A 24,040-nucleotide genomic window follows, 5' to 3' on the forward strand; every position below is an offset into this window, starting at 1 on the left:
GAGATCACGGGCTCCCTGGGTGTCCACACCTATGTGTAAACAGCCAGGTGCAAAGGCTCCCTCCTGCCCTCCCTTCATCCTTCCCTGGCACTCACCTGAAAGTTGCCCCATAGATGGCAGGCACAAGGCGTGGCCTCTGCAACCCCAGGGGCGTGTACCCACCCAGCCAACGCAGAGTCTGTTGCAATGCACAGTGCTTTGGCCCTCTCCCCATCAGGGCACCACAAATCTAGGAATGTCTTTGTTCAAAACCTCTCATTTAACAAGTGCAGCAGGTCTGAGCTCTGATCTGCTTGGGAGAATGTACCAGGGAAAGGCAAAGAAGCTAGAGTCAGAACCCCAGATGGCCTATGGACTTCTGAATTCTGAATTCGCCAATGGGAGAGACCTGGCTTTGGTGCTCTCCACAGATACATGATCAACTTGAGCACCTCATTGCCCTTCACAACATCCTTCTGCAAATGCCACTGGGTTTGAGGTTCCTCTCCAGCTTCTGCAGCTGACTGCAACCCTCTCCACAAGGGCATCAGCAGCAAGTCTATCAAATACTGTTCCAAATCCAAGCTCTTGGATTCTGGGTATAGATATTCCCAAGGCTCAGTCCTTAATCCATTCCGTTCTTCCTATTAGATTCCTTGAGAATTTTATCATTTCCAGAGTATTGCTTAATTATTAACTAATAATGACAGTATTTGCAAAACGCAGTGCAATATATGACATACTATTACACACATAATCTCATTTGATTTTCTGAATAACTTTTACAGGTAGGGATGACTTCTCCCCCTTTTTAAAGAGGCAGCATGACATAATGGTTAAGAGCATGAGCTCTGGAACTAGAAAGCCTGGGTTCCAAATCCCAGCTCTGCTACTTACTGCCTCTGTGGCCTTGACATGTTACTTAACCCCCCCCTGCATCAGTCTCCCCATCTGTAAAACAGGGATAATAGGAGTATCTACCTCATAGGGTTGGTGGTAGGAGTCAATGAATTAATATTTGTACTGTGCTTAGAACAGTGCTTAGTGCTACGTGTTTGTTAAATAAAATGGGGAAACTGAGGCTCAGAAAGGTAAGTGACTAGTTCAAGAGAACAGTAGGTATTAGCCCTACAACTTGGTCATGTGCCTGTGAGTCTATTGTTTATCTTCAATCCATCCATTCACCACAGCAGATGAGATGCTACAAGGTTGAGCCTCACTGTGTTGCAGACTCCTCACCACCAACCCCTTCCCAGGCCCTCTGCTGCAGCCAGCTGTGCCGCACTCTCCCATTTCCACTCTGCTTTTGCTTATTTGAAAGACTCTCCCTGTTTGTGGAATGAATGAAGATGTAGTAAGTATAAAGCATTTTATTGACCTATGGGGCTAATAATTTTATTTAAAAACAGAAAGAAACAAACAAATAAGTGGGGTAGAGAAGAGATTGAGGCTCAGAAACCACACAGACAATATATCAAGTCACAGATGACCCTGGATTTGGCAGTGATTTCTTATAGTTGACACCAAAGGCACAAGCAACAGAAAACAAAATAGACAAAATGGACTTCATGAAAATTTTAAAATTTTGTGAATCCAAAGACACTATCAACAGAGTAAAAAGACGACAACCCACAGATCGGGTGAAAATATTCGCAAATTATGTATCTGATAAAGGATAAATATCCAGAACATACAGAGGACTCCTAAAACTCAACAAGAAAAACACAAACAATCCAATTCAAAAACAAGCAAAGAGTTACATTAGGTGAAGCAACTCAGACACAGAATGACAAACACCACATAAGTGGGCACTAAATAATGTATACACAGGGACACAGAGTATAGAAGTGGTGTAGAGTGGTAGACAATGGAGACTCACGAGGGTGAGGGTTAGGAAGGGGAGTGGATGAGGAGAAACAACTTAATGGGTACAATGTACGTTACTCCAGTGATGGATACGCTAAAAGCCCTGACTTCACCACTGTGCAATATATTCATGTAACAAAACTGTACTTGTACCCCTTAAATATATACACATAAAAAAAAATTTCTACTTGAGAGGCTGAGGCAGGAGAATCGCTTGAACCCAGGAGGTGGCAGCTGCAGTGAGCCGAGATCGTGCCATTGTACTCCAGCCTGAGCAACAAGAATGAAGCTCTGTCTCAAAAACAAAAAAAAAGTGTTAATAAAAGTTTTTAAATAGACAAATGACTTGAATAGACATTTTTCCAAAGAAGACGAGCAAATGGCCAATAAACACATGAAAAGATGCTCAACATCACTAATGATTTAGGTAAATGCAAATCAAAACCACACTGAGATATCCAGGATGGCTACTATCAAAAAGAAAAGAAAAGAAAAAAAGCAAATGGTGAGGATGCAAAGAAACTGCAACCCTTTTACGCTGTTGGCAGGGACGTAAAATGGTACAGCCACTGTGGAGAATAGTATGGCAGTTCCTCAAAAAATTAAACACAGAATTACCATATGATCCAGCAATTCTATTTCTGTGTATACCAAAAAGAACTGAAAGCAAGGTCTCAAAGAGATATTTGCACACCAATATTCATAGCAGCATTATTCACCATAGCTAAAATGTAGAAGCAACCCAAATCTCCATCATATATATATATATGTATACATATATATATACGTATATATATATATACACATATATATATACGTATATATATGTGTATATATATATATATATACACATATATACATACGTACATACATATTATTCAGCCTTAGAAAAGGAAGGAAATTCTGACATTTGCTGTAATATGGATGAAGCTTGGGGACATATGCTAAGTAAAATATGCCAGTCACAAAAAGACAACTATTTCATGATTCTACTTACATGAGGTACCTACAGTAGTCAAAATCAGAAAGACAAAGTAGAATGGTGGTTGCCAGGAGCTGGATGGAGGGCAGAATGGGGAGTTATAGTTTAATGAGAATAGGGTTTCTACAAGCTAGAGACTTCTGCAGATGGATGGTGGTGATGGCTGCACGACAATATGAATGTACTTAATACCACTCAACTGTGCACTTAAAAATGGTTAAGATGGTAATATTTCTTGGCTCTGTGTCCCCACCCAAATCTTATCTCGAATTGTAATCCCCACATGTCAAGGGAGGGATGCGCTGGGAGGTGATCAGATCATGGGGGTGGTTTCCCCATGCTGTTCTCATGATAGTGAGGGAGTTCTCACATTGTTTCAGTGGGTGCAAGCCCCAAGCCGTGGCAGCTTCCACGTAGTGTTGGGCCTGCAGGTACACAGAAGACAAGAGATGAGCATTGGGAACCTCTATCTAGATGTCAGAGGATGTATGGAAATGCCTGAATGTCCAGGCAGAAGTCTGCTGCAGGGGCAGAGCCCTCATGAAGAAACTCTCCTAGAGCAGTGCAGAAGGGAAATGTGGGGTTGGAGCCCCACACGCTAGGGGCACTGCCTAGTGAAGATGTGTGAAGAGGACCACCATCCTCCAGACCCCAGAAAGATAGATCCACTGACAACTTGCACCATGCACCTGGAAAAGCCGCAGGCACTCAACACCAGCCCATGAAAGCAGCCACAGAGGCTGTACCCTGAAGAGCCACAGAGGTGGAGCTGCCCAAGGCTATGGGAGCCCACCCCTTGCATCAGCATGCCCTGGATGTGAGACATAGAGTCAAAGGAGATTTTGGAGCTTTAAGATTTAATGACTGCCCAGCTGGGTTTCAGACTTGCATGGGGTCTGTGGTCCCTTTGTTTTGGCCAATTTCTCCCATTTGGAATGGGAACATTTACCCAATGCCTGTACCCCCATTGTATTTTGGAAGTAACTAACTTGCTTTTGATTTTACAGGCTCATAGGCAGAAGGGACTTGCCTTGTCTTACGTGAGACTTTGGACTTGGACTTTTTGGTTAATGCTGGAATAAGTTAAGACCATGGGGGACTGTTGGGAAGGGATAATTGGTTTTGAAATGTGAAAAGGACATTAGATTTGGGAGGGGCCGGGGGAAGAATGATATGGTTTGGCTCTGTGTCCCCACCCAAATCTCATCTCGAATCATAATCCCCACATGTCGAGAGAGGGACCTGGTGGGAGGCGATTGGATCATGGAGGCGATTTCCCTCATGCTGTTCTCGTGATAGTGGGGGAGTTCTCAGGAGATCTGACGGTTTTAAAAGTGGCAGTTTCCCCTAAGTGCTCACTCTCTCCTGCTGCCTTGTGAAGAAGGTAGTCACTTCTACTTTGCCTTCTGCCATAATTATAAGTTTCCTGAGGACTCCCCCGCATGCAGAACTGTGATTCAATTAAACCTCTTTCCTTTATAAATTACCCAGTCTCAGGTATTTCTTTATAGCAGTGTGAAAATGAACTAATACAGATGGTAAACTTTATGTTATGTGTATTTTACCATAATTTAAAAATTTTGGAAAAAAAACATATCTAGGCATCTTCTGTTTAACTTCTCTGTCCAAAGGGATTGGATGAAGGAAGCCAGCTATTTCCACAGCTTCTCACCCATTGTTAGAGATGAGAAGATCCTTAGAAAACATCTAGTCTAACCTCCTACTGTAGCAGATGAGGAAACTAAGACTTTGTCTGGCATTAATTATTGCTCTCAAGGGACTAATACAGCAGTGACTTCCAAGGCTGAACCCACTAAATAAAACCATTAATCATGCTGCACCCACCCCAGCAAGTGGAACAACTCCCCAGGTGACATGGTAAAACAGAATTCTACTTTTTGTGAATCAACCCCCTCTGCAGTTTTTGTTGCGGCATGTAGGAAAATGTGAAGCACATAATCCTAAGCAAAGCTGGGCTCTCAACCATAGACTGTCGGTGAATTTTTTAAAAGGGCAGCTGGCCTCTCTCCCAGTTCTCCATCTCCTATATTAAAAGCTGTCTTCACCCCTTCATGTTTCCCAGTCAGCACAGACAGTGGAGGTCCACGTCAACCTCCTAGAAAATCCACAAGCAACTAGCAGGACTCATGATGAAGACAGCTCACTCAGGGGAGAGTCTCAGGCCCCAAGAGTTAAGTGCTTCAGGAATAGAGAAGAAAAAACAGCTGGGGGTCCACACAGCTTTCTGTGACAGCTTTAGCAACCTGAAGATTGAGCAAGTCCTCATAGAAATCACTGTTTCAGCTGCACATTAGGCAGGGATTTTTCCTCTGGCAGCCCGCCGGCTGCCCCAGCCTCAACCACGTCATTCCCTCCGTGGGAGAGGGCAGAAATTCCAGCCCTTCCAGAGCAGGCTTGAGGAAGCCTCCACAGACACTGGCTCATGGCCATCCTGCCTGGAACTGGGCTCCCAGCAAATCCCTAAGGTGAAGCTGGGTCACAAAAGATCAGAACTACCCAAGGCTGTTCCAAGTCTGTTTGGCGCTGCTGCCAGAAGTGGCTGTGGTGCTTCAATAGGCAACTGTGCCAGGAGCCCATGCTCAGATGGAGAGAAGCCAGTGCCACTCCCTGGAGCTCCAGACTCCTACCTCCGACCAAAATCTCCACCTGCATGTCACAGGCATTGCAAGACTGTGTCCAAAACCAGATTTTGAGTCTTTCACCTCTCAAGCTGCTCTTCCTGTGTTCCTCCTCATTCCACGCGTGCCATCCCATCCTTCCAGTTGTGCAGGCCCTAGACTACGGAGTCACTCCTGGCTCCTCATTCTCTTATGTCCTGGACTTAGTCCATTAGCAAATCTATTGGCTCTAGGTTTGAAAAGTATCCAGAATTCACCTATGTCTTACTATTCTCTGCTACCACCACTCTGGTCCAGGCTACATTATATCTTCTCTGGATTATTAAAATAGCTTCCCACGAATCTACCTGCTTCCACCCTTCCCCTTTTCTCAAAACAGCAACCACAGTGAGCCTGTTAAAACAGACATCAAAACAAGTCACGGCTTCCCTCAAAACCGTAAAAAGATTCCCATGTCACACAGAGCAAGCCCAAAGTTGTTACCTCGACCTGCAGCTCCCTCCAGGGCCTGGCTCTCCATTACCGCTCCAATCTCTTAATAAAAATTACCTTTGATTCTTTCTACTCCAACGCACTAGCCTCCTCACTATTTCTGAAACCCATCAAGCATGCTTCCAGCTCAGGGGCTTTGCACTTGCTGTTTCGTATGCCCAGAATGCCCTTTCCCTTAACTCACCTTTTCAGCAGAGCCTTCCCCAGCCATACTATGTAACACTTCATACCCCCTCCAACACTTCCTGGCCCCATCCCCTTCTTTACTTTTTGTCCTTAGCACATGTGTGTGTTCTTATTTATCTTGTTAATGTCTTACTCTTTCACAAGACTGTAGGTTCCATGAGGGCAAGGAAATTTTGGTCTGCAAATTTTCCGATCAGCACCTAGAAAAGTGCCTGGCACATTGTAGATGTTCAATAATTGTGATGAATAAATATAGGAACAATGGGACACTAGACACCTTGACACACTAGGCATTTCTTGTTTACTCTGCAGAAGAGTAGCAGACACTATTCATTATCCAGCCAACATCCATTCTCCTCTTCTATCAAAAGAACCCTGATTTCACGTGGGGTACCAAATGTGCCTACAAAAATATATGGGCTTGGTCCAGGAATGGTGACTCATGCCTATAATCCCAACACTTTGGGAGGCCAAGGCAGGAAAATTGCTTGATCTCAGGAGTTCAAGAGCAGCCTGGGAAACATAGCAAGATCTTGTATCTACTAAAAACCAAAGAAAGAAATAAAGAATTAGTCAGGCATGGTAATGCACACCTGTAGTCCCAGTTAATCAGGAGGTTGAGGGAAGAGGATGGCTTGAGCCCAGAAGGTCAGGGTTGCAGTGATCTATGATTGTACCACTACACCCCAGCCTGGGCAACAGAGCAAGACCCTGTCTCAAAAAATTATATGTATGTATCTGTCTATCTATCTATCTATATCTATCTATATAGATATAGATATAGATATGCACATACATACACACACACACACACACACACACACACACACACACACACACTTGTTTGCATGGAAGCTGGAGTGGCCATTAGACCCAGTCTGCAAAGTGGTGGAAAGCTATCCATTCTCCAATACAAAGGGACAGACTCAGCTGTGGCTTTTACCCTTCTCCTTTCCCTTTCTCCTGACTGGAACTCAAAGTCAATGCTTGAAGGTGAACGTGAAGAGCCATTTTTTGACCATGTAGTTGGAAGTCCCATGCAATAGAAAGCAGAAAATCCCTAAGGTGAAGCTGGGTCACAAAAGATCAGAACTGCCCAAGGCTGTTCCAAGTCTGTTTGACGCTGAAGCAGCCCAAGCTACCTAATGAACTGTGAAGCCACTACACCCAGCCCCAGCTAGTCAACCCCTTTTTGGTTAAGTCCTGTAGCAGAGTTGCCTTCGCATGTTGTAAAAAGCAATCCTAACTTGACACACAGGTTGAAAGTGAGAAGAGAGGAGCTGAGGAAGGCAAACTGTGCTGTGATGAATATGATGATGCAGTCAGCTCAGCTGCTGGTAAGGATTGGTGCCACCACGTCTTCATCTGCCCATCTATCTCCTTCTCCCATCCACCCTGTCCCATTCTCCTCAACCCCCAGGGCAAACACTGCTGCAACCCTAACTTGTATCCCTTTTCCCATGATAACTCCAAATAAAATCAAACGTTCTCATCATTGGAAGGAGAGGGTGTCCAGTTACAATTTCCCTTTCAAAAATGCACTAACACTCAAGCTAATCCTCAGGAAATGCTCCATTCTAGATAGCTGAGTTTTCTGAATTGGTCGAGTTTTATTAATTCCACCTTAAACTACCCAAACTCTTTAAGCCTTTAAGCAAAATTCATGAAAATCTATCACACATTTTTCTGTATTTTAAAATAAGGTATACAAAACATAATTTTCATAATAATTTGAGGTCATTAAATGCCAAGATACGTGGAATTTTGACTTGGGAAAAACCTTAGAGAGCAATTCTAATGGAAGCATTTTCTTTTGGAACCTCAGAGAAGGTTGTTAGCTTGCCCACAGTCACTCAGCTAGTGGGTTATCACAGTGAGCCATTATTATATGATCCAAAACACAGTGATTCCCTTAAGACTGGTAAAGGTCATTTATATGGTTTGGATATTTGTTCCCTCTAAATCCCATGTTGAAATGTGATCTCCAGTGTCAAAGGTGTGGCCTAGAGGTGTCTGGGTCATGGGGGCAGGCTTGGTGCCATCCCCATAGTAATAAGTTCTTGCTCTATGAGCTCATGCAAAGTGTGGTACTCCTCCCATTGCTCTCCCTCTCCCTCTCATGCTGTGTGGCATGCCTGATCCTCCTTTTGCCATGGGAGCCCTCACCAGAAGCAGATGCTGGCGCCATGACTCTTGTCCAGTCTGCAGAACCATTAGCCAAATAAACTTCTTTTCCTTATAAATTACCCAGCCTCATGTATTCCTGTATAGCAACACAAAATGGACTAATAACCAGAATGTTCTCCTCTTACATCAAATGTGTATTGCATATTCTCTGTCTCCTTTTTATACTTTCTCCGTAATTTCTTTCAACTTTCAGCTGCCCCCTTTTCCCTATAAAAGTATACTTATCTGCAGTTTCCCTTGTCAAGAGTATTAAAGGTCTGCATAAAGTAAAAGCTAATACTATCCTGAGGGAGGGCTTCAGTGCAAAGTTCTCTGAGTACAGACTCTGTCAGATACAAGTCATTTCCTCCTGTGCCTTTGGGGAGTGCTGATTTGTTCCAGGAAACAAAGACCCTTGAAATAGTCTAGGTCCCAGAATAGGATTTAATATGTTTTAAGCTGTAGGAGGGAAACTGCTGAATTTAAACAAAAATTTAAACAAGAATGTTGAGTCCTGTTGGATTTTATACCATCAGAAAGGCCAATATATAAGTGCAGACAAATACGTTTTATACTGAAAGACTTTCATTAGAATCTTTCAAAAGGCCAACTCCAGAAAATATGAATTTTTTTGAAGAGACCGTAGGTGTCAGTGCAGAAGATATTTGCACAGGCCTGCATAACATGTACAGTATCTTGACTATCTTGCTTCCCCCCCCTTTTTTTTTTTTTGAGACAGTCTCACCCTGTCGTCCAGGCTGGAGTACAATGGTGTGATCTCAGCTCACTGCAATCTCCACCTCCCGGGTTCAAATGATTCTCCTGCCTCAGCCTCCTGAGTAGCCAGGACTACAGGCACCCGCCACCAGGCCCAGCTAATTTTTGTATTTTTAGTAGAGATGGGGTTTCACCGTGTTAGCCAGGCTGGTCTCAAACTCCTGACCTCATGATCTGCCCGCCTCGGCCTCCCAAAGTGCTGGGATTACAGGCGTGAGCCACCGCACCCGGCCCTATTTTTATTTCCCCTATAAACTCTACTATGACACATCCTCTAAGTCAGGCATTCCCAAACCGTGGGTGGCAGCTACTGTGAAGGGTCTCCCAACCAAATATACCCCCAGCTGTCTGAAGACCAAATAAATGAGGTTACACACATATGTAAACTATTATTCTGAAAACGTCTATAGATGCTATTGCGGTCAATAGAATTCAAATTCCTTGTTTATGTTGTCATTCACTCACAGCAGCTTTCTGTAACTGAGCATTTTCTCCAGCTGAAGTGACACTATAGGGCAGGAGAGGATGCATGCAGCCTGGGAGAGCTCAGAGGTTACCACCATAAGCCATTCCCTACGCTGGCCACTCACCTCCTTGTTGCCACTTATTTGAACACCGTCTATCTCTAGACCACCTTAAGAACTCTGAAGAGGCCTTTCCAGAAAATGCTACCTTTACAATGACCCTTACCATCTCCTCCGGTCTAGGGTTTGCCTTTTATATTTTAGTTGTCCTTTCAGACATTCATGTCTTCTCATAATACAAGTATTGTTTTGTTTTGTTTTTTTTGAGACAGCGTCTCACTCTGTCACAGCCTGGAGTGCAGTGGCGTGATCACAGCCCACTGTAGCCTCGAACTCTTGGACTCAGGTGACCTTCCCACCTCAGCCTCCCAAGTAGGTGAAACTACAGGTGTGTGCCACCACACCTAGCTAATTTTTGTACTGTTTTTGTAAAGAGGGGGTTTTGCTATGTTACCCAGGCTGGTCTCAAACTCCTGGGCTCAAGCAATCCGCCCACCATGGCTGCTCAAACTGATGGGATTACAGATATGAGTCACCACACCCGGCCATAATACAAGTTTTTATTTTAGGTGAGGATGTTTTCCCTTCCAGAAAGCTTATGAATGCTTCCTCAGTTTCCCCTTTGAATTCCCAACAGCACTCTGCATGTGGAGAAAACAAATATTTTATATTTCCCCTACACTAATATCCACTTAAACCTGATATCGAATAGAAAGAACATGGGCCTTGGAATCTTTACCAAACCCAGGTCTGAATTCCCTGTGACTGTGTGTGTGTCTCTTAATCTCTCTGAGACTCAATTTCTCCTAAGACAAAAAAGAGAGTAGATATACTCTACTTTATACAACTGCCAAGAGGAATCTACGAGGTAATGAGGGTAAAAGTACGAGCAAAAAGGTTGTCAGAAGATAAACTCAAGGAATGTTTACAAAAATTACTTAAGACATGAAAAGAAAACTCAATTCTTTTTTTCCCTTTCAAATTTTAATTCAAGCTGGCCGGGCACAGTGGCTCACACCTGTAATCCCAGCACTTTGGGAGGCTGAGGCAGGTGGATTGCCTAAGGTCAGGAGATCAAGACTAGCCTGACCAACATGGTGAAACCCTGTCTCTATTAAAAATACAAAAATTAGCCAGGCATGATGGTGGGCACCTGTAATCCCAGCTACTCTGGAGGCTGAGGCAGGAGAATACTTGAACCCAGGAGGTGGGCATTGCAGTGAGCCAAGATGGCGCCACTGCACTCCAGATTCGGTGATGCAGTGAGACTCCATCTCATTAAAAAAAAAAAAATTTAGTTAAAGACAGAGAGGTTTCATTCAACTACTGTATTAGTCTGTTTTTATGCTGCTGATAAAAACATACCCAAGATTGGGAAGAAAAAGGTTTATGGACTTACAGTTCCACATGGCTGGGAGGCAAGGAGGAGCAAGTCACATCTTACATGGATGGCAGCAGGCAAAAATTCCCATTTTTAAAACCATCAGATCTCATGAGACTCATGCACTATGAGAACAGCACAAGAAAGACCCACCCGCTCCCATAATTCAATCACCTCCCACTGGGTTCCTCCCATGACACATGGGAATTGTGGGAGTTACAATTCAAGATGAGATTTGGCTGGGAACACAGCCAGAGCATATCAACTACTTGTTGATGCGGAAGAGATGAAATGGAAGACAGAAAAGATGCATTGCAAGAGAATGCAAAGTGGAAGTGTCTTTGACTCCATAAGGGGCTCAGGGCCTGAAGATTTAAAGCCCCACTATAGGAAGATGCCCCCTCCCAGAACTGAGCTGCTGCAGCTACCACACAGATGCTCAGGCTGAGGGTTGTGGGCACCCAGGTAAGCAGCTGACTGAGAAATATGAAATTTTAATTTACCTCCACCTGTAACTGTGGGGCTGATATTCCATGCTTCCTTTGGCTCAAAACCCCTTCCCTGAAATTGCATATATTTTCTTTTTAAGCAGAAGAGCTGAAATGATATCAGTGAAAAGAATGAGGTTAGCTGGGGAGGGTCTGAAAATATCCAAGCAGTAGACACTGGATAATAATCAAACCCACTCCCTACCTCACTATCCTACATCACTGATTCTCAATCCCCATTCTCCAGATCCCGCACCTCTGGAAATGCCTGGAGACATTTTTGGTTGTCACACCTGGGGGATGCTATTGGCACCTAAGGCTGGGGATGTTGCTAAACATTTTACAATACACAAGATAGCCCCCAACAACAGAGAATTATCCGGTCAAAAACGTCAGTAGTGCCGAGGTTGAGAAAACCTGCTCTACACAAACAATTTGGGTTCATTCTTCTCATTCTGTTTTTTACTGTATGTACTTAATAAACAGATCAAGAAAAATAAAACAAGCCCTTCCATAACATACACATGCTCTGAGAAGACAAGAGATGGAAGCTGTGCTGAGAACAAGACTGAGATGATTACTTCTATCACAAGATAAAAAATAATGACTACGTGAATTAGTTTTTACCCTTAATTATTTTTTATTTATTATCCTCATCAAGCCAGGCAAACTAAGCCCATATTCCTAAAACTATATTATTTTTAAATAGCTGAAAGGAGTACATTTTTTTCTGATGGCCATATGTGAGATGGATGCCTCAGGCACAGGGCTGTCCCCTCCCTCCCTCACCATGATAGCCATACTGCCACTGGTTTCTGGACACTCCTATATTCTTGTTTTCCCATTCCTCACTGAGCTACACAAAATACATTTATTGAAGAGCTGCTCTGTGCCCAGCTCAACTCTACAGCTGGGGCATAGCCCTGAACAAGACATGTTCAAATCTCTCCTATCCTGAAGCTTACATTTTGGAGGTGGGGATACAGACAGTAAACAAATAAATTTAAAAAATAGGAAACAATTCTGGGTAGTAGGTACTGTAAAGAAAGATCAAACAGGGTAAGCAGAGAGGGAATGGGTGTCTGGGTCAGGGGTGGGTCATCAGGGAAGGCTCTCCAAGGACATGACATTTGAGCAGAGACCAGAAAATGATGCGAGGGAACCTCAGGCAGGCCAGAGAAGAGCCCTTGCAAAGCCCTGAGGCTGAAATGAGCTCGGCGTGTTTAAGGATTAGCAAGAAAGCTGGAGAGGAGTGAAGAAGAGAACAGCAGACTTTGGAGACAGTCGGGGGCCAGATTACAAAAAGCATTGCAGGCCTGGAGAAAGAGTGTGGACTGGATTCTACATGTGAGAGGAAGCCACTGGAGAGACATGACTGACTTACACTTTCAAGAGGTCACTGTGCCTGCTGCTGGGTGAAGGGGGGACTGCAAGGGGCAAGTGTGGAGGCAGGGACCCCAGTTAGGAGGCCACGGCTATGGCCCAAGTAGAGACAAAGGCTTGGACCAGGGTCATGGTAACAGAAGTGTTAAGAAATGTTTAGATTCACTAATCTCCTTAAAGACGCCAACATTTTGGAGCTAAAAGAGGCCTTCAGAGTAATTCATTCTAGTCTATCATTTTACAGATGACAAAATGAAAGCCCAAGGGGCTGAAATGAGTTACCCATAGTCATAGACCTAATTACTGACAAAGCACAAATTTCCTGACTGCCATCACTATACCTCTGCCCTTACCTGGCCAACCCAGGGCTGGGGTGGGCAATGCAGAAGACAGGTAGGCACAGGAACCCTCTAGAGGGTAGTCCTAGCCAAAGTCAAAATAAATGACTCTCTTTGCTTTGGGCAAGGTCACCCTAACATCCTAGCCAAACCCAATGGGCCCTTATTGAGCTCTCTGCAGCATCTGACACTTCTGACTCCTTTCATTTTTTTGAGACTCCCTCTTCCCTTGTCTTCCCTGAGCTCCTCTCTCCTGTCTCTCCGTCCTTTAGTTCCTTACCAGTCTTGCTTACCTGCTAATCATCCTACCCTGTAAGCGCTGCAGTTTTCCAAGATGCCCTCTGGGGCACTATTTCTTCCTTTCTCATCTACAGAGGAAATTAACTGTCGGCCTCCTCGATATCTCTTACCCTTGTCCAGCAGTTGCTCCTCTGGAGACCCACCCTTTTCACACACCACATCCATGTGGCTTCATGGATGTGGACACATGACCTATGCCTCGCCAATCAGCATCTTCGAACTTCCTTTGATGTAACAACAGTGTTGCTGAAACAGCTGGGAGAAGGACAGTTCCCCTTTCACATTGGATTTGAACCTGCAGCTTTCCCCCTTGCCAGAGCTGCTGGGGATCACCACACAGAACCTTAGCATGAAGAAAGGTCAAAACCAGTGAGAAAATGGGTCCTGATAAAAACCACTTGAACCCTGAACCCACACCAGAAGCCAAATACACTCGAGCATTTTAATGACATGAGCCAATAGCTTTCCTTTTTGCTTAAGTGGATTTGAATGGATATTCTACCACTTGCAAAAGAAAGACTCCTATCTGATACCTCTTCTCTCTATATGTTCCCTCTCTATGCCCACTTAAACACTGATGACTCCAAAATCTCCATGTATAGCCTAGAAACTCTTTGGTGCTCCAGATTCATATCCACCCACCTTGTAGATGTTGTCTCCCATATGTCACATTCAGGCACCTCAGATAGAACATGTACAAAATGGAATTCACATCTCTGCTGCTACCATCCCACTATGCTATTCCTCATGTTTTTCTCTACCCTAGATAAAACATCACCACCCACCCAATCTCTCAGGAAAGAAGCCTAGGACATCCTAGGCCACTCCTTAAGGGAATCCTAATGGGGTTTAGGCCCTGACTACACTTTCTGACTGTGTCACCATGGGTGTATTAATGAACATGTCTGAGCTGTGGATTTCCATACTGACTCTCTAGGATTGAATGAGATAGTGTGTGTAAAGCAGTTGGTTCCATTTCCTATCACAGACATCCAATGCATCACTAGTTCTCAGTCAAAACTTCATCCTCACTGCCACTACCCCAGCTCAGAGCCTCACCATCTTTTCCCTGGACTACTAACAGGCATTTCTCTCTTCTTCTTATTTTCGATCTCACCCCCACCCTTACCCCCCACACCAATCTCTCCTCCCAACTATTGCCAGACTGATTGTCCCCTACACAGCCAGACCATTTCATGCTATTCCCTGCCACCTGCAGAATTTATTCATTTGCAAATACCCTCTACCTCGACCATCCCAAATTGCTCACAGTTCTCCAAACACTCACTGTTGTTCTCAACTCTGTGGCTCTGTACACTGTTATCACTGCCCATAATGCTGTCTCTTCCTCCTCACCCACCTGGAGAAGAGCTCATCCTTAAGACTTGGTTAAAAAAAGAAAAAAAAAAGTTACTATAAAAGTCAAAGAAAATATAGATTGGTTAAAGTGACAAGGAGGGAAAATAAATAAAGGAAAAGCAGAAATTTAAAATATTTTTAAATGGAGAAAAGCAAAGAAAGAATGGAGAGAAAAGAGAAAATTTAGGAAAATTTACTCTTGAAGTAGGAGGGGACTTCCTAAGCAAGACAGAAAACTTGAAAACAAAGAAAAGTGATAGAGTTTTCACTTCATAAAAATTAAATACTTCTGGACAATCAAAGGTACAATAAGCAAAGTTGGGGAAGAAGACATAAAGATGTTTGATTTATTAACAAGAAAAGGATTAAAGACCAGAATTTAAAAAGAGCCTCACAAATTGATGAAATTACAAACAACTCAGTTAAAAAAATTGGCAAAGAATTTGATGGAGGAATTAGAGGAAGTGTAAGCAATCAATTTAGAGTAAACTTGGAAGAATACATCAGCATTTAAAATGCACATAACTGGCCAGGCGCGGTGACTCAAGCCTGTAATTCCAGCATTTTGGGAGGCCGAGGTGGGCAAATCCCCGGAGGTCAGGAGTTTGAGACCAGCCTCGCCAATATGGTGAAACCCCTTCTCTACTAAAAATACAAAAATTAGCCAGGTGTGGTGGCGCACGCCTGTAACCCCAGCTACGTGGGAGGCTGAGGCAGGAGAATCACTTGAACCCAGGAGGTGGATGTTGCAGTGAGCCGAGATCATGCCACTGCACTCCAGCCTGGGCGACAGAGCAAGACTCTGTCTCATAAAAATAAAATGCCCATAACTGATATGAAATGGTCTCCAAGCCGGGCGCTGTGGCTCTCGCCTGTAATCCCAGCACTTTGGGAGGTCGAGGCGGGCGGATCACGAGGTCAGGAGATTGAGACCATCCTGGCTAACACGGTGAAACCCCGTCTCTACTAAAAATACAAAAAAATTAGCCGGGCGTGGTGGCAGGTGCCTGTAGTCCCAGCTACTCGGGAGGCTGAGGCAGGAGAATGGCGTGAACCCGGAAGATGGAGCTTGCAGTGAGCCGAGATCGCGCCACTGAACTCCAGCCTGGGTGACTGAGCAAGACTCCGTCTCAAAAAAAAAAAAAAGAAAAAAAGAAATGGTCTCCAAGATCTAGATTGAACTTTTTTAATGCCCTATGTAGAACAGAGCATATAATATGCTATCATATTTATTTCTGAAAGAGAGAAAACAGAAGGCACATTTTTAGGTTTGTTTTTGTTGTTGTTGTTTGTTGGTTGGTTTTTTAAGATGGAGTTTCGCTCTTGTTGCCCAGGATGGAGTGCAATGGCACAGTCTCGGCTCACTGCAACCTCCGCCTCCTGGGTTCAAGCGATTCTCCTGCCTCAGCCTTCCAAGTAGCTGGGATTACAGGTGCCCACCACCATGCCCGGCTAATTTTTGTATTTTTAGTAGAGATGGGGTTTCACCATGTTGGTCAGGCTGGTCTCGAACTCCTGACCTCAGATGATCTGCCTGCCTCGGCCTCCCAAAATACTGGGATTACAGGCGTGAGCCACTGCGCCCAGCCCAGAAGGTACATTTTATTTGCTTGTAGGGGCATGGACTATTTCTGAAAGAATGCACAAAAACTGGTAAAATTAGTTATACCCAAAAAAGGAAAAAGAGGGCTAGGAAAGAGGAGTGGGAGGGAGATGTTGCCTTTTATAACTTTTGAATGCTATACCTTTCCAATTCACTACTTATTCTCAAACAAATAACCTTAAATAAATACAGTAAATAATTCAGTCTCTTTTTCTACACAATCTTCCAGACCTCAATAAACAAAGATAATTCTGCTTAAATAACCACTTAAAATGTACATTTCCTTTGACCCACAGATCCCACGTCCAGGAACAATTTTTACCCAGAAATATTGTACATGTACACAGATAAAGATACACAGAAAATCTAAATTAAATTGGAAGCCAATCTATGAGTCCATCAAGAGGGGAATGTTTAAATAATTTATAGGGAACCGATACTATGAAATACTATGTTATTATTAAAAAGAATGAAGTACAATGTATCTGTTATTGTTATTGAATGACTTCTAAGTCATATTGTTAAATCAGAAAAGTAAACCACAGAGCATTATTATATGACCCGATTTATGTTTTTCTTTTTTTAACAGACAGGATCTTACTATGTTGTCCATGCTGGACTTGAACTCTTAGGCTCAAGCGATCCTCCCACCTCAGCCTATCAAGTAACTGGGACTACAGGTGTGCGCCACCATGCCCAGCTTCATTTATGTATTTTTTCAAGTATATTCAATATATTCAGGTTGGTCCTAAAGTGAGAAATGTAGGTAATACTTTTTTATCATGTTTTATATAATAGCAATAAACTATATATTCACCTATGTTTCCAGGCTTGGTGACCATATTGAGCACACTGAAAAAGACCTAAAAAGACAGACATTTACAGTGGTTATCTCAAAGGTGGGGAGAAGGAGTAGAGAAGAGGTGGAGGGGAATTTAATTTATTTTCCTATATGTTACTGTGTTTTAAAATATTTACAGCTCTTAGTTTTGAAAAATTACTATATTCCATGAATGCTTTACATTATTTACCTAAGGTCACAAGTTTATAAGGGGCAGGGCTGGGAGGTAGGCTGTCTGACTTCAGATAGTGCTCTTAACACAGTGTTCTCTCACCCATTGCTTGAGTATAAAACAAACACAAACTAAAATAAAATTGAAATATACCTCCTCATGCTTTACCCCTGGCCAACTGCAAATTCCTTCCTTTATGCTCCAGCACTCCCTGAACATATTTGCCATGAATGCTATCCTCTCCCCTGCTGAGCACATAAAATGTGCAAGGAAATAGATTAAAACTAGTTGTAAGCCTTTTCTCTTGGTGTAGAAACAGAGTCATAGACGAGTACTGGGTGAATGAATGAAGTATGGAGTCATAAAGTCAATCCCTCCTCCAAACTCCAGGTAGCACTGATAGCTATCTCTAGTTCTGTTGATGTTTTTTGTTCTTATAGAAAAACAGCAAGAAGACACCATTTCTCCCCTGCTGTCATGCTTTACTGCATCTCAGAATGACAGTCAGTGCTTCCCAAGGTCTCACACAGAAGACGCAAGCAGCCTGCACACATAATTTGGTTAAACTGCACGCACATTAAAAAAAATGTTTTGAATCAGTTGCTATCTTTAAAAATATATGAAGCTTGTTTTCCGTAAAAATTTACAGTTTCCCCCAAAACTAAGATCAGGCAACCATGTGCTGGAGCCCCACCGCACCTGCAGCTGCCCCCTTACTGGAGACAGGCTTAGCAGCACACAGCTCCCACCCAGCCCTCCTGTCCACCCGCCTCCTGCACTCAGGCTTCCTGACTGGTCCCTGCTGGCAGTGGAGTTTACACCACAGAACTGTACCTCCTCTTGCTGACATTTAGGTCAGTTCCAGTTCAGCCCATTCTGTCTTCCTCGGAACCCAAACAGAGAGCTCGCAGCCCTCTGACCACACAGTGCTCCTTCACCTCTCAGAGGACGCACAGTGCACCAGGCTGCAACACAAAGAGAACGGTTCGGATATCGTTGCGGCCTTGGATTAGTTCCAAAATGTCAAGCGGGCCTCTTAATGAGGGGTCTCTATTCTTGATGTTATGGCAGTGGAGCTACAGGGCAGGGAGAAGCCCTGAGTTAAAGAACTCACCTGTGTGCCATCAGGAAACCACGTGAAAAGCACTACCAAGGCAAAAGATCTGAGTTCAATCTGGGCTGCTTACCTAGCTGGGCAAGAATGCTTCATCTCTCCTGAGCCTCAGTTTCCTCACCTATCAAATGGGCTAGTAGAGCTTCACAAGGTTGTTGTGTGAATGAAAAAGTGTACATGAAAGTGCTTGTAAGCACCTGACAAGTATAAAATAAGACGGGTGTGGAGGAGGACCGGAAGAGAGGTGCTCTGAAAGAAGTAACAGAAATGGGTGCCATGCATTCCAGTTACAGTTGAAGAGCCTCTGTCTCTATGACCTGAGGTCCCTCCCACCTCCTCTTTCTGCCCTGAGGGCCTGAAAAATGCCTCTCTTCACTTGCTCCCAGTGGCTGCAGTAAAATAGATTATAAGGGAAAACCGCCTATTCCCCGAAGCAGTAGCTCTCCAGAACTCATCTGGAGGTCCAGGTCACTAGGGGAGAAGAAGCCAGGCTGAATCCACGCCTGGCTCCACGGAGGAGCCACAAGGATGGCCATCCTCCCCCAGCCCCTAGGACGCTGAGACAGGCTCACCGGAGGTTATCGGTGTCTCCATTGGACAATCAAGGAACTGAGGTTCTTTCCCTCCAAAACCACACACCTCCTCACGGCTTCACCGGGAGGTGGATCAAATGACCTGCTCTATGAAAGCACTTTGCAAAAGGGATGAAAGTACAATAACAAGCAAAAATAGCCTCCAAGATGTGATATAAAGCGATGCCAATGCGCAGCTATGTGGTTACTGGTGAGCAGACCTCCGGGAAGCACAGGACACACCCCACTTACCCAACAGACGTTCTCATCCCATATGCCTTTGTCCAAAGGTTGCACGGGGGTTAAGCTTGGCCCAGAAGGCGCCGAGGGCTGGTCGAGTTCTCCCCTTTCCAAGAACCAGCCGAATCTCCCTCCCGCAGATCTGAGGGGCAGAGCCGCCCATCCGGCGGCGCCGGGCCACTTCTGGGCGCGCCACCCGCCGCCCGCCCAGGCTCGGGGAGACAGCGCCCTGAGTCCCGGCTGGGAGAAGGCTGCTCACCTGGTCCTCACGGATTCCAGCCGAGGGGCGTGACCGCTTCTCCCCACACCCTTTGCCCTGAGCGGGACGTGGAGTCTCTTGGCCCCAGGGGGCGCGGCCCGCATCGGCAGAGTCCCGGGCACGCACCTACGCCCTCCCATCCAGCGGACTGTTTAGGGGCTTCGGGCGGCGCCGGAGAAACGGGGCGGGCTGCACCCAGCAGAATGGGGTGGGCCTCTCAGAAGCCCCAGGCCGCAGGGGAGGGGCGCGCCCCCAACATCTTCCCACAAAGAGCTCCAGCTCTCCAAAGCAAGGCGCAGTGCGGGCGGAGGACAGCCCTGACCTCCGAGAGGGGCGCGGGGAGAAAGGGAGCGCCGTGGGGGCGGGGACCCTTCCCGGCCCGCGCCCTGAGCCCTCAGCCTCGCACAATGAGTTTAGCCTGGCTCCATCCGGACCGCCCTCTCCGCCCGGGCCCGCGCCCGCGCCCCACGCCGGGTGCTCACCGAGGAGCGGCCGCCGCGGCAGCTCAGGCCCCGGCCCAGCCGCCTCCCCGCCTCGGCCACCGCCGCCGCCGCTTCCTTCCTCCCCGCCGCGCTCCGGGACTGGAGGTTTCGGGTTTCAGCCCACCGAGCCCCGCTTCGCTCCTCCCGCGGGCCAGCCACCAGCACGCGGACCCGGGCGGGCGCAGGCCAAGTAACTTTGCGGCGCCCGCGCCCCGCCCCGCCCCCCCCACGCCCGGCCGGGCCCCTCCGGCCCCCGGAGCCCCGAGCCGCCTCCCCGCGCCCCGCACTGCCCCGCCCCGCCCAGCTCCCGGCGCCCCTCCCCACCCGCGCCCCTTCCTTCGCGTCCGTCCGCCCGCCCTCCCGGCTGCTTCTTTCCCATTTCTTCCCACGAACAGCCTCGGCTGCTGCTCTTTGTCTCGCCCTTACCCTCTCGGCTCGCCCCACTTTTCTCCTGAAAACCTTTGTGGTGCCTAACTCAGGCCTTCCCTGTTCCCGTTCCTCCGCCCCAGTTCCAGCCGCTGGGACGTCGCCTTTTCCATGTCTCTCTCCATCACACAGACACTTTCAGATTCTTCCCGCAGGCTCCGCACAGTCCCATTCTCCTCCTCCAGTCCCGCCGTGGACGATCCTGGTATCGCCTTTGCTGCTCACCTTTCATTCATCCAGCCGACGGGCACGAGCATCCATCTGCCTTCTGCCAGGCTCTGTCCCGGGCTCTGTTAATACCACAGTGAATTCGTCCCGAAGCCAGCCCCGGGGAGTGGGGAGTGGACGTAAACAGGTCTTCACACTGCTGCCCTGCACTCCCTCGGAACCAAAAGGCCAGGGAGCAGTCATCACAAAACAAAGAGCGGGCGCTGTCAGCTCGGGGGACGGAACAGTTCCTTCTCAGAATGTTTGTTTTCCCTTCCTCACTCCCCACTTTGCCTGCCTGTCTCCAGACTCCTACGTTTTCTATGCAGCAGTCTTAATAAGGGGATGAAAAGTTGAAGCACAGAGTAGAACTGCTAAAAAGGGAAAGAAGGAAGGACAAACAGGGCAGCAAAATAATCAGGTAAGAAGTTACAAAGCCCAGTTCACTAAACTCCAGAAAAAAAAAAACAAACCCTGATGCTGTGCTTAGAGCAGGATTCACATTCCTCTGAAATCCATCTGCTTTGATAAATACATTAATTATTCCCTTGTCTACAGATTGACACTGTGGGAGATGCTTCCTTAATATTATTGGGCCACTGAGGCACAATTTAGAACAGTAATTTACTGTCTGGCACCTGCCAAACACCCACATTGCTCTGGGGACAAATGGGATAATGGGGAGAAAAAAGTAAATGGGTGCCTTAATATTCCTATGGGATAAATGCTTTATTTGGTCAAAAACTGGAAGCTGACGCTCCACTTAAGAGTCTAGGTCACGCGGCAAGCCAGACACTTGAAGGAGCTTAAAGCTTTCTGTTCTTAATAGTATTTTAGACACTTATTTTGAAATCCCTGATATTTATTTAATTTACACTGACTCAGATGTCGGCTAAGCTCTATGAGCCTGAGGGAGTGAGTTAACCTTCCTCTCAGCTTATTCATATATAAAATGGGGATACTCATACTTTCCTATCTGTAGAGTTGAAAAGGTTAAATGAGGTCATGTAAGTAAATCATCCAGTGACATAGAATCTGAGAACTAAACCCTTTTGAAAATTGGTATTCACGAAAGGTCTGAAAATATATGCCACAGACTGGCATGGTGAGAATGAGAATAAAAAATAAACAGTTACGGCTGTTGTGGCTCCATACCCATCCATGATGCGAAAGATGTCCTTCATACTGAGCAACCTTTTCCCATACTTACTCTATTTCATTTTGAACTCTTCAACAGAAAACACTTTTTTTCTCCTGCTGCTCATTATCAAATGCATTATTTATCACAAAGATTTTTCTTTTTTCTGAGCTCATAAGCTCAGAACTTACTGTGCATTCAGGGATGGAAATTGCTGCCAACAAATGCATTTTCAATTGCTCTCTTAAGATTTTTTTCCCTTCTGGAGCTAATATTGAGCTATGAGCAGAATTCAATCAGATGCAGAGAAAACAGACAAATTATTATTAAAGTAATTATTTCACCGTATATCATTGTATAGGTGACAATTGTGAAAAACGTGACTGATTTTGTGCAAGAATGTATTTATATTTTTTTAGAAAAAGAGAAAGATACACACTAATTCTCCTTTCCCAAATTAGTTTAATAAACCATTCTGTTTTAGAGACATCCACAAAGACTTATAAAGTAAGATAATGAGAGGCCTTGTCCAACTGAACCTCACATGTGTGTTGAATAATTTATATATAAAACATATTTTATGTAAAATATCATTTCAGTCTAGCAGTCCACATAAAACTGGTGAAAGCAAAACTGTGAAATATGCTATTTGTTCCACATGGAATGTTATTTCCTCCACTCTTTACAGGCCAAGCCCTTCCTGCCCTTCACATCTCACCTTAAATGTCACTTCCTTAGAGAAGTCTTCCCTGATGGGATCTTGCTATGTTGCCCAGGCTTGTCTTTAACTCCTGGGCTCAAGCTATCCTCTCACCTTGGCCTCCCAAAGTGCTGGAATTACAGATGTGAGCCACTGCACTCAGCCCCTGACCAATCTAAAAGAAATTCTCTAATCTATGTACTCTTTCACAGCTCTGTTGTTTTTCTACATAAAATGTGTCCAAATTTATAAAATATGCATCAATTTTTCTATTTATTTGTTTACAGTATGCCTCCACTGATAGAATGGTAAAACCATTTGACCTCAGATGGAAACTTCCCTGAAACTGATGTGCCTCTGGACTGATCAGAAACAAGAGCCAATCAATATACATATATTTTTATTGAATCAGTATGGGTTTATTTCTGTTACTTGGAACAGAAAGCATCTCACTCAGTGATTCTTAATACGACATTTTGAAAGGCATTTTGGGTTTGTCACAATGATTAGAGGACACCCCAGGCATTTATTGGGTGCGGCCCAGGATACCAGACATCTTGCAGTACATGAAATAGTCCTACACAAAAAGAACAGTTCCTTTCACACATGACAGTAAAAACTGTCTATACTTTTCTAAGTCTGAAACCAAACTATTTTACATATATCCATGAGGGGTTTTTTTGCATGGTTTTGTTGTACAGCAATTTGTCTAGGAATGCAAGTACTATGTGAATTGAAGGAAGATTGCACCTTGATTTACTCAAACCTCACCAAGAGTTGTTCAGTATTTTGGAAATCACCTCACTATTAACAATGCCACTCATGGTATCAGATTTACTAGTACAAGTTAGGTGACTTGGTCTACATTTATATATCTGTGTCATACTTGCAGTGATCCTGTCTATAACTTCAAGTGTCTGACCACTTCATGATGTCATCCACTAGGGCTGATATATTGAAATGAGCATTATTGGGCTGGATGCGGTGGCTCACTCCTGTAACCCAAGCACTTTGGGAGGCCAAGGCGGGTGGATCACTTGAGGTCAGGAGTTCAAGACCAGCCTGGCCAACATGGCAAAACCGTGTCTCTACTAAAAATACAAATATTAGCCGAGCATGGTGGCACATACTTGTAGTCCTAGCTACATGGGAGGCTGAGGCACAAGAATTGCTTGAACCGGGGAGGTGGAGGTTGCAGTGAGCTGAGATCGTACCACTGCCTTGTCCTACACATCTCTTCCATCTGGCTTCTCTTGAATTGCATCCTTTGTCATAAACCAGTAATCAAAGTAAGTAAAGTGCTTTCTTGAGCTCTGTGAGCTGTTATAGGAAATTATTAGCCATGGGAACTCCTGATCTGAAGCCAAGTCGGTCAGAAGTACTGGAGGCCCTGGACATTCATGTGGTGCCTGAAGTGGGGACAGTG

At 45.1% G+C, this 24,040-nt stretch overlaps 1 protein-coding gene across 15 annotated transcripts in view, besides 2 other annotated features; it reads right to left on the reverse strand.

Annotated features, from left to right (window-relative positions):
- GPR161 (G protein-coupled receptor 161) overlaps positions 1-21,072 on the reverse strand; it is a 58,126-nt gene extending 37,054 nt beyond the window's left edge. For 2 of the 15 annotated variants that reach the window (NM_001267609.1, NM_001349632.1), the window contains exons 1-2: positions 20,570-21,072; positions 18,311-18,441 (exon numbers count right to left, since the gene is read on the reverse strand). In NM_001267609.1, coding sequence (NP_001254538.1) covers positions 18,311-18,326 — 16 coding nt within the window. In that variant the 5' untranslated portion in view covers positions 18,327-18,441; positions 20,570-21,072. Of the gene's footprint in view, positions 1-17,280; positions 17,327-18,310; positions 18,442-19,414; positions 20,336-20,569 lie in introns of those variants that run through there. The other 13 variants (NM_001349635.1, NM_001349633.1, NM_001267614.1 and 10 more) reach the window with 10 other exon arrangements.
- Positions 19,978-20,207: a silencer, noted in NCBI's record as "silent region_1542". NCBI's record gives its function as "represses an Ori minimal core promoter by ATAC-STARR-seq in GM12878 lymphoblastoid cells {active_cell/tissue: GM12878}" and the evidence as "EXISTENCE:reporter gene assay evidence [ECO:0000049][PMID:35858748]".
- Positions 20,736-21,030: a silencer, noted in NCBI's record as "tiled region #11959; HepG2 Repressive non-DNase unmatched - State 4:PromP, and K562 Repressive DNase matched - State 4:PromP". NCBI's record gives its function as "represses a minimal TATA promoter and a strong SV40 promoter by Sharpr-MPRA in HepG2 and K562 cells {active_cell/tissue: HepG2 | K562}" and the evidence as "EXISTENCE:reporter gene assay evidence [ECO:0000049][PMID:27701403]".

The sequence above is a fragment of the Homo sapiens genome, chromosome 1, assembly GCF_000001405.40.
Source record: "Homo sapiens chromosome 1, GRCh38.p14 Primary Assembly".
Classification (NCBI taxonomy): Eukaryota; Metazoa; Chordata; class Mammalia; order Primates; family Hominidae; genus Homo; species Homo sapiens.